Below are 11,950 nucleotides of genomic sequence, written 5' to 3'. Positions count from 1 at the left end.
AAGCAATCCACCGGCCTCGGCCTCCTGAATTATGGGGATTACAGGTGTGAGCCACTGCGCCCGGTCTAGACTTACATTTTTAAAAGAGCCTTGAGCTCAAGTGAATTTTAAAGACTTGGATTAAAGGAAGAAAACAAATCACAAGGCAAAACAGGAGAGGAAAGTGCACCACCTGGAACTGTATCATAAAACATCAGTGATTCAGCCTGGGAAGCTGCCCTGCCAAAACAGTGTTTTCAATGTGCTTGGAACATAATTTGTGTTTAATTTTAAATGAAACTGATTAGAAGTATATCTATATTTTATTTACCAACAAGGCCAAATGACTCACTAGTGTGAGCTGTGTGTCTGCCCAAGCTTTGCATGTGCCAAAGTCTGTATAAAAAGATTCCTAATTCGGAAGAGACAATGGGAATTTTCTGACTGGCAGCTCTCATGTTGGTTAATTAGATGGTATTAAGAAGAAAAAGGTTGGCCACGTTATCTTGAAGAAAGTATTATTAGAGATGGCAGTAGATCCTAAAACATTTAATACCCTGTGTTGTAGTCTCTAACGTGCCATCTGGAGTAGTTACTTAGGGGAAATTACAATAAATTGATAGAAATATTAAAAAATTGCCTCAACTAACAAAAATAAAAGCTCTCTTGAGGAAAAATAGCATTTTAAGTGTAATTTGTGAATCATGATTTGACAGATGACAAATATAGGTTTTAAAGTCCCACAAGACTTGTGTCTCTCATTAGAATCACCACCATATATGTACTATTAAAACTCAAGGGCCGGGAGTCTTGGCTCACGCCTGTAATCCCAGCACTTTGGGAGGTGGATCACCTGAGGTAAGGAGTTCGAGACCAGCTGGGCCAACATAGTGAAACCCTGTCTCTACTAAAAATACAAAAATTAGCTGGATGTGGTGGTGCATACCTGTAATTCCAGCTACTTGGGAGGCTGAGGCAGAACAATTGCTTGAACCCAGGAGGCAGAGGTTGTGGTGAGCCCAGATTGCGCCATTGCACTCCAGCCTGGGCGACAAGAGCAAGACTTTGTCAAAAAAAAGTCAAGTAACTTCTCCAAGACCCATTTAAAACACACACAACCTATTAGAATGGCCCAAATCGGGAACGCTGACAACACCAAATGCTGGTGAGGAAGTGGAGCACCAAGAAGTCTCTTTGCTGGTGAGAATGCAACATGGTTCAGACCCTTTGGAAGACAATTTGGAGACTTCTTACAAAACTAAACATACTCATCATATGATCCCGCAATTATGCACCTTGGTATTTACCCTAAGGAGTTGAAAAGTTGTGTTCACACAAAACCTGCACACAGATATTTATAGCAGCTTTATTCCTAATTACCAAAATGAGGAAGCAGGCAAAATGTCCTTCAGTGGGTGAATGGATACGTAAACTGTGATACATCCAGACAATTGAATATTATTCAGTGCTAAAAAGAAATGAGTGATCAAGCCATGAAAAGAGATGGAGGAAACTTGCATGCCTATTACTAAGTAAAAGCAACCAATCTGTAAAGGCTGTGTACTGTATAATTCCGACTACATGACATTCTGGACAAGGCAAAACTAGAGACAGGAAAAAGATCAGCGGTGTGGTTACCAGGGCAAGGCGGGAGGGAGGGATGAACAGGCTGAGCACATTTTTAGGACAGTAAAACTACTCTGTAGGATACTATAATGACAGATACATGTCACAATCCATAGAATGAACACTACCAACGGTGAACCATAATGTAAACTATGGACTTCAGGTGATAATGCTGGGTCAATGTAGATTCATCAGTTGTAACAATTGTACTACTCTTGTGGGGGATGCCAATGCAAGGAGAGGTTATGTGGGTCCTAGGGCTGGGAGTCTACAGTTTATCTCTGTACCTTTCCCTCTGTTTTGCTATAAGCCTAAAACTGCCCCCAACAAATTGTCTTAAAAAATAGCTATCAACTCACAAATCTCATACATATTTTTCTTTATTTTCTGGGTTAAACAAAGAAGGAATATTCTGATGAATTACTTACTTTGTTTTTAAAGTCCCAGATAAAGAAAATTATATTATGACAACCTTGTTTCAAAAAGCTTCTCATGCTCTCTACCAATTAGATTAAGATAAGCAGAAAGACTGAAAAACTTAAGACTTCGTTCTCAGAAATAATAAACAACGGTGAACACACCTGCTATTTACTTACTTCTTGCCAAGTGCTACAAAACACCTGATGGAAAATGAGGGAAAAGTGCTGGTCTCACAAAGGTCATTTCAGCTTTATCTGGGCCCACTGGCAAGTAAACACCAGCAGAATCCTTTTGGACCAAGGACAGCAATATGGTAACTTTACAGTGAAAGCTTTCCATTTTTTCCTTCAGAAATGTCTTTTTTTTTTTTTTTTTAATAAGTGGGACAAAATGGAGGTTAGGAGATAAAACTCTCTTGTGACATGATTCATTTCTGGTTTTGCTAACAGAATTGCTCATCCTTTTCTGTTTGAGAAAAAGCATTTTATCATTCTGAAGCCTAGAGCATGCTTGGAAAAGAGGAATAGTTCTAACCTCAGACTCATAATTTCAAAGCATAGATCCTGTAATCATATCCAGTTATGTTTTGAAATTCAGTTCTCTTATGAGTAAATAAATAGGATTTGGAAAGTTTTGTTGACAAAAAAATTGTAAGACAGGATGAAAGCGTCTTTTAAATTAATGATCATGTGATAGCACACTGCAAAGAAAAAAGCCCAGATAAAACACAAGAAATAAAGACAAATGGAATAATTTTGGCATAGCCAAATTACCTGCTACAAAGAGGAGTAGCTATGCTTTAGGTGGAAAATAAATGAGGCACATTCTGTCCAAAACAAAACTTTTTGAAGGGAATATATTTCATTGAAGTTTTTAAAGTGCGGCTGAAGCTATTATCTAATTTTATGGATCCATTAAAAAATGCCTACGAGAGAACCCTGTGGACTCCCTTGCCTTTTCTGTATCATATTTAGGATCATATATCATTCCTTCTGAAGGGGGAAAAAAACCATCTAGCTGGTACAGGATAATCCCTCGATTAACCAGATAATTAAGCAGCTTCGAGCTGGATTCCGTAGTGCCAGTGACATAGCCCCTGGTGTTTACCCTAAAACACCTCCTGGACTCCATTACATCAGTCATATGCAGAGTCCCCAGGCCTTCCCACTCCCATCTGTGGGTAACTCAATCACTGACTTCTGTGTCACAAATGTTACTCCATGGTCAAAAGCACTCCATAGTTAGAGCGGGTTCTTTTTAGGGCATGGGATACCATTTCATGCAAAATGTACTTTGATATCTTCAAAGATTAAATGCTGTTTTATCACTGATTTGAAAGTCTGAAGACGTTTAAGAGCGCTTATGATCTGGTCTTATCATCTCTTTCCAGCTTTTCTACAACTCCCTCTCCCATCATCCCACACTGTTACACAGCTGGAATACTAGGGCGTATTTTTTTTTCTTGTTTGTGTGTTTGCTTAATGCTTCCACATAATTTGTTTCATTTGCAAAAATCTGCTTCTCCTCTAATTCTGATTATTTATGTCTCATGCACCCTTCCTCCAAGCAGCATTTAAATGGCATTTCCTCTGTGAAGTCTTCCCTGGATCTCTGTCAACTCCTGGCTAGACATAATCTCTTCTTTCCTTTTGCATTCTCATAGCAGTTAGCTAGTACTTCTCTTATAGACAGATGATCATATTTCACATAGTTCACATTTGTTATTCAAATGCAACTCTTATTTTCTCTAATAATAATAACAACAATGATAGCATCTACCACTGTTTTGAGGGCTTACTATTGGGCCAGCACTACCTAGCTGGTGCTTTATTCCTCACAGTAACTCTGTCAAGCAAATATTACGATATCTGTTTTACAGATGCACAAACTGAGGCTCAGAGAGCTTAAAGCAGTGTCCAAGTCCACAGAGCCACCATATGCTGGGATTCAGTAAGTCCCCAGTCCAACTCTAGAGCCTATTATCTCAGCCACTGCTATATTGCTAGATCCTGAAGTTCTTTAAAGGAAAAGGGAGGGAACTCACATTTACCAAACACCTAATCTCTGCATGGCACTGCAGCAGGAACTTTCATGCATATTATCTGATTTATCTGTGAGTGAGATGGTATAATTCACATTTTGCAATTGAGAAAACCAAGCTTCACCATAAATACATATGTTTTAAGGGGAGCTGACTGGATTAAGATATTTGTGGTGCATATAACTGATGAAAGATTGATAATCAGAATATATAAACATGTCCTACAAGTTAATGAGGAAAATAATAACTACCCTATAGGGAAATGGGCAAAGGAAATGAACAGGCAATTCATCAAAGAAGGAGGCAGAATGAGCCAAAATCTATGAAATGGTGCTTAGCTTTACTAGAATTTAGGAGAATACAAATTTAAACGAGTTACAATTTCATACTCATCAAATTGACAAAAATTAAACAATCTAATGGTCCCCAAATGTTAAGATAATGAGAATTTTCATACACTGGAAGTGGGAATAAAAATTGATACAGCCATTTTAGAGAGCAATTTCACTTCTACATATCGTAGAAGTGAAACTGGAGGTTTGAATTGTCCCAAGATAAGTACAAGTGTGTTCACTCCAGTATTGTTTAGAAAATATAAAACTATGATATTATAATATAATGGAATATGTTACTAAGAAAAAAGAATAATCTATATGCATCAAAAATAGATAAATCTTGAAAGCATAATGAGATGACACAACTAGAGGGCACTTTCTGTGAATCAGAAAGTGGGCTGTCACCAGAAATCAAATCTGCTGGTGGTGTGATCTTGGACTTTCCAGGCTCCAGAACTATGAGAAATAAATTTCTGTTGTTAATTTTTTTAAGTTGTGAAAGTGTTGACCAGCCTGGCCAACACAGCAAAACCCTGCGAAAAATACAAAAAAATAGCCAGGCGTGGTGGCACATGCCTGTAATCCCAGTTACTCCAGAGGCTGAGGCATGAGAATTGCGTGAACCCAAGAGGTGGAGGTTGCAGTGAACCGAGATGGCGCCACTGCACTCCAGTCTGGGCAACAGAGGGCCACTTTGTCTCAAAAACAAAAACAAAAAACCCACCACAAGCAGCAACAAAAACCCACTTATGGAAACAGAAGAGGAGGAGGAAACAGAAGAGGAGGAGAAAACAGGGAGGAGCCAGTCTTGAAGACATCATCACTCTGTATTTATACCTGATTCTAAGAGTCCCAGAGAAGCATCCTGATTATTTTGGGGCCTATTTTTAAAACAAATGAACTCATGGATTTTTGTCTGTTCCTCATGCCCAATTTACAAAATGCATCTGTGTGATGTTTTCATTTGATGAAACAGGAGATGAGTTCCCCTGGCTCCCAACTGTTGATGTTTGTAAGTGGATGGCATCTGGCTTATTCTCACCATTGCCATCTTAGAGCTACTGCAAGTCCAAGAACCTGATGCCCAGAATTATTAAGCAAATTTTTGGTGCACATTCCTTCAAAAAGAAAATCTACTGCACCTCCCGTCACTTGACTAAGTGACAGAAATTGATGGTATCAGGAAAACATTTAGTGAAATGCAGCTTAAGTCTATGGCCTAAACTACAAAAATGCACTGACTTTATATTAGGAGTTAGCAAAGCACAACAAGTTTTAACAAGATCTGAACAGACTGGAGGTTTGAATTGTATAAACATATTTTGGTGCCAAAAGAAAACATTGTAGAGTGGTGTGAGCACCTCAAAGAATAGACGGTTCTCCAGGAAAGGAGAACCTAGTGCCTCTCCTGAAGGGTAGGGTTGGGGAAGGGTTTAATACCTGGTTTAACATTTTCAAACTCTCTCTTCCTTGATCCTTTACTTATTTTAAATTGGTTTGCCATTTTGTTTGCATTTGATTTAAATTTATGTTTGTTTGTTCTACCTTTTTCAGTAAAATCCAGTACAAATAAACATAGAGAAAAATTGGAAGGCGCTTCTGGAAAGTACTTATTTCAACCTTCTCTCAGCCCATCCCAGTGAAGTTTCAGGGGATTAAAGTCTTCCATCTAGCCAAGAACAGGACCATCAAAAATTATACTATGTAAGTCTCTCTACTGATTTGTGTATGATATAGACTTAATTTGAACAAGGACTGTATTAATTGAAAAAAGAAGTTGCAATAGTGCATTCTGGTGGCAGGGAAAAGACTATATGTGGAAGCTGCAATCTGATCTGATCTGCTCAAAGTTAGTGACAGTTAAAGGGATTGTACATTGACTGTGTATCTATGAGCCTCAGTGCTTTGCCCAAAATGGCAGAGATACTTCCTCTTCTCATATTCCCATGTTTGCTGAATTATTAACCTAATACCACTGTATGTTGTCTATTACTCTGTAAAAAAATTACCTCAAAATTTAGCAGTAGAAAACCACAGACCTTTATTACACATAGTTTCAAAGGGTCAGGAACCCTGGTGTAGCTTAACTGAGTGGCTCTGGCTCAAGGACTCTCATGAGGCTGTCATCAAGGTATAATCCACGGCTGCAGTCTCATCTGATGACTTGACTGGGTATGTAGGTTCTGCTTTCAAGATGGCACACTCACATGGCTGTTGGAAGAAAGCTTTAGCTCCTTGCTGACAGGTGGCAGAAAGCCTCAGTTCCTTGCTCCATTAGGCACTCTATAGGTTGTTTGAGTGTCTTCATGATATGATAGCTGGCTTCCCACAGAGGGAGTGAACTGAGGGAGAAAGCAAGGCTGAACCACAATATCTTTTATAATCTAACCTAAGGAGTCACATGGCATCACTTCTGCAGTGTTCCACTGATCATCCAGACCAATCCTGATATCGTCTGGGAGGGTATTATCCGGAGAGTGACAGACAGGAGGCAGAGATCACTGCAAGCCATCTTAAAGGCAGGCTACCACAGCTACCCCTCCAGGTAATGAACTGTTAATATTTGCTTTAAAACTCTGAATTCCTGTTTCAAGTAACCTCTTTTCCCTAGTGCATTCAAGTTTATATTACCCTTGGGAATTAAAAAAATTGAAAATGTATAAATATTAGTGCTGGACTTTGTGTTGCCCCTCCAGAAGTATGTTCAAGAGAAGAGTTTCTTTTGGAGGGCAGGGGAAATAGTCTGGAATCAGATTGTGATGATACTTGCATAACATTATGAGTATATAATACTAAAACCATTGAACTGTGCACTTTAAAATGCTTAAAATAAGTTATGTGAATTTTATCTCAAAAAATGACTTAAAAAGAGAGGGCATGAATAGTATTATTATCAAATTGGCTGGCTTAGAAAGACTTAGGGTAGCTTTTAGCTCTTTCTGCTCTATTTGTTTTGTCAGCTCAAAATTTTAAGTATGATTAACAAGACACTATTAGGTCCTGGGAAAATGGATTCATGGAAATAAAGCTCATGATAGGTTGGAATGTGCTGGTGCAGTGTAATGACAAGGGTTTTCAGAGCACGTTGGCATACATTCTTGTGATCTGACTCCCATGATCCTTCCACTAAAACAATAATTATGGCATATTTTATTCTGGCCTAACAAGTGTTGAAAATGTTAGTAATGGACTTATGTATTGTTTGAGCAGTTCTCCCAAATGCTTTTTTTTCGGGGCATTTTTCACAATTTGTGATTTCACTTGGCAATTGTTTTGCATTATGTTGTAGTGTGTTGTCAGTTATTCGGAGAGACACCACAGTTTTTTGTCTTACATTTAATACTATTTATGGCTATGAGACCTGAGTCTGCCAAAGCTTCTTGAGCAGTTTTAGCTGCAACGTAAGCATCATCCTTATAAGTAAATAGGAAAACAAAGTCAATATCAACTAGCACTGATTGTCTCCATATACAAGAAATCATGTATATTGCATCATTTAATATTAAGCAATTGTCCTGAATAGTTGTTAGTCTTGCCATTGAGCTTCAGATTGACCTTTCCCAGAGGTCAAATAACCAGTTAAAAATATATCACCAAAACTACAATGCTCAAATACAAGATATCTGTCCACTTTGAAGCAATTCAGTGTATCATAATCAAATTGAACTGCAATTAATAATATTGAATTCATTCAACTAGATATGTACAAAGATTATATGTCAGCTGGAACTCTCCAAGAAGCCATTGTAGGATAAGCTGAAATGGCACAACTACTTAGAGGAAGGAGAGAAATAAACAAACAATTTTAGGTGCCCTAAACCACATTTCAAAATCATTTAGCTTAGTAAGAGGAGCTCTTTGAAACAGCAACTTATAGATAGATTACTTTGGAATATTGCTAACCAGAAAACATCAATTGTGGAGAATCACCTTACAGGAATACTAACATTTCATAGTAAATAGTTAAAAAAAAGATTTAATCTTGAAAAGTAACCAGGGGAATTGTAAATATAAGCTTATTTTATCTTATATTTAATAAAATATTGGTTTTCATTGCATGTATATATTAATTCTTTAAAATGAACAAACAATAAAGGAAATGTTTATGTATAAAGTTTTGGGGTGCATTGTCTTTCTAAAAATGTAGGTTGGCCCTTTTACACACCTTTCCTTTATGTGCCTCATTGATGCAGTGTGATGGTAAAGAGGATTATTTCACTAAAACATTCTAGGATTTGACCTGTTTCCCAGGGGCCATTCTTAATTCTCTGATACTGAAATCACATCATGCAATCATTGGCTCTCTTTTCCTCAGTTGTAAACTGCTGTTACTTTGTCAGGTCCTCATTATCAACAGATATGTGTATGATTTGAGCAGTTTCCCGAAATCTGTTTTTTCAAGTCAACTTTTGCATGATTGCTGATTTCACTTGTCAATTGTTTTCCATTATGCGGCATTGTGATAACAATTTTATTTCCAAAATCTAAAAAGAAAATCAGTGACAATCTCCCTAAGTGGACAGACAGTTCATTCGTGAGGGCTTTTGTTCAGTTGACATTTGCTTCCCTCTACAACCTTGTAACTCAAATAATAAATAGTGTGATATTGAGGCCATCCTCTTGGTAAAAGATGATGTGGCTTCCTGGCTTCTCACAACCCCAGTGGTATCCACCTCGACCATGGTACCCACCTGTTTTTAAGAGAATTATTCCTTACCACCCCCATTCCATTGCTGATGTGGTTTATAAAACAGCTACCTTACCTTTCTGGCCTCAATTATTTGTTTACCTGCAGAGACCTTTCTCAACATGGCCTGTCATAATATCGTATCTTCCCAGCCGTTTTGATTTTTGCAGGGAAGTGGACTTATATCCAAGGTCATGACAATCAAAATTTCCCTTACAGATTGTTTTTAGAAAAGAGCATGAAAGGGGATCCCTTTCCTCTCAGAGTTGATGAGCTGTCACCCGTTGTGTCTGCTGCAGCTTGGAGAAAGGAGAGGTGAAGTAAGAGACAAGCTATCATGCTGAGCAAAGCAGAGGCAGTAAATGAAGAGGAAAGTGGACGACATTTGAGTCCCCTGTGCTAATCATTACCAAGGCCACCTGCACTCTGATACGGAAGTGCTGAGAAGGGAAGAGCATGGTCCCTTTGAATAATATGGAAAGGGGAAAGGGAAGTGCTGGGTAGAGGAGGGCGTGGTCCCTGGCTAGGGCTCCACCCCCACGGACCTAGGTGAGGACAGGCACTCCTGCCTTCCTGCCCAAATGTTGCATTTCCCAAGACGACCCTGGCCTGCCACGCCCCCACCCTGGGCCTATGAAAACTCCAGACCCTAGCAAGGCAGAGACGCAGGTGGCCAGACATGGAGAGAAGCACATCAGCAGAAGACAAGGCAAGCGGCAGGCAGGCAGAAGAGCACACCAACTGACTGCGGCATGCCCGCAGGCCACTGGCTGGTGGGACGAGGCAGAGTTTGGCCAGGGCAGTCAGAGAGCTGGGGTGCCCAGTGGCCCAACTCCAAGGGAAAACCATCTCCCTCATAGTTCCCCATTGGCAGACAGCTATTTCCACTCAAAACTTTGCACTCATTCTCCAAGCCCGCTAGTGATCCAGTTCTTCAGTAGACCAAGGCAAGAACCGGGAATACAAAAAGCCCTCTGTCCTTGCAAGGAGGTAGAGCGTCTAATTGAGCTGGTTAACAAAAGCCGCCTATACATGCAAACTCAGAGCACCCTGTAACACATGCCCACTGGGGCTTCAGAAGCTGCAAACATTCACCCCTACAGAGTGCGGGAGGGAGTCAGAGCCCCACAGCCTGCCTGTCTGTATGCTTCCCAAGAGGTGTGAGCAGCAGGGCACTGAAGAAGCGAGTCACTCCCCATGTCTCATGCCCTGTGAGGGGGACAAGGTAACTTTTCCCGTTTCAACTCCATCCAATAAATTTCGCTCCTTGTCTCCCCCTACTCAATCTAGTGTGAGTTGAATTCTCTCTTGTAATCTAAAATTAATTATGGGTCCAAGTGTTAAGGCCCATTGGTTGCATTGCAGTCAACAGAATAAACAGCAGAATAAGGGAAACTCCGAACTTCACTGTAGTGTCTTCTGGGATCCAGTATCACTAGTATCACTAATAATAATAAAAAAAGCCACCAGGAGTGATAAAGAGGACGTGCCTGGGAGTTAGGAATTTGAGTTTCTAGATCCAGTTAACTCTTCTACTAACTCACTTGGGCTCATAAGAAGGTCACTTTTTCCCTCTAAGGTTCACTTTCTTCATATGTAAAATTAAGCCAATATTCTCTTCTTACCTTATTAAAGATCAATGCACCTCAAAGTGTCATGAACACGATTCTAATACGTGCTGCAATGATTAAATGCCGACTCAATAATTTGAACTGATTGTAACCTAAGGGATTATTTTTTCAAGCCACATCATTATACTGATCAGGCCATTGGAGACACAAAAACCACCCTTCCCATTTACCAAATTCTCCCTTATCATTCTGCGATCCACCACTCGCTTCGGCAGCACGTATATCATTCTATGATCCAGACAAAGAAGGAAGTGAGGAAAGATTCACAGTAAATGGGGGTGGGGAAGCATGCAACTTTCAGACAGGTCCTGATCATCTCATCTCATCTGTGCCTCTGCCCACTGCTTTTTGTTTTCCTCTCTCTTACCAAGTGCTATGGGCTCAACATGTCCCCTAAAATTCATGTGTTGGAAATTTAATCCCCAATGCAAGAGTTCTGGGAGGTGGGGGGTTTTGGGAGGTGTTTAGATCGTAAGAGCTCCATCCTCATGAACAGATTAATGCCATTAAAAAAAAAAAGCTTGATGGAGGGAAAAACTTGACCCCCTTTTGCCCTCCTGTTCCTCCTGCCATGTGAAGACCCAGCATTTCTCCCTCGGGAGGATGCAGCATCAAGCTGCCATCTTTGAAGCAGAGACCGCACCCTCATCAGACATGGAATCTACTGGCACCTTGATTTTGGACTTCCCAGATTCCAGAACTGTAAGAGAATAAATCTCTACTCTTTATAAATTACCCAACCTCAGGTATTTTGCTATAGCAACCCAAACAGACTAAGACATTACGTCCCGAGCAGAATTGTGGGTATGAGATGAAAGCATGACTCCATTTGTACATGTTGGTCAAAACTGGAGGGTCAGCACAGCAGATCTTCTCAGTCCTCCCGAGGCCTGGTTAGTATTTTCAGTCTCTTGAAGACCTCTCAGATGCCTCTTACAGGCTCTGTTTTTCAGGTTTTCTATGGTGACTGGTTAAAATAAGGGAGGCACTGACTCTTGAGATTGGAAGTCTCTACCATAAGTTAGATTAAATGCTTTTGTTGTTTTTGTTTTGTATTAATATCTTCTATTTGCCGGAATCCTAAAGTATCAGGCTGCGTGTTGTGGCTCATGCCTATAATCCCAACACTCTAGGATGCCGAGGTTGGCAGATTGCTTGAGTCCAGGAGTTCAAGGCCAGCCTGGGCAACATGGTGAAACCCCATCTCTACTAAAAATACAAAAATGTTAGC

Source organism: Homo sapiens, chromosome 8 (assembly GCF_000001405.40).
Source record: "Homo sapiens chromosome 8, GRCh38.p14 Primary Assembly".
Classification (NCBI taxonomy): domain Eukaryota; kingdom Metazoa; phylum Chordata; class Mammalia; order Primates; family Hominidae; genus Homo; species Homo sapiens.
The sequence above is the reverse complement of the archived record's forward strand: the minus strand, read 5'-3'. Positions refer to the sequence as shown.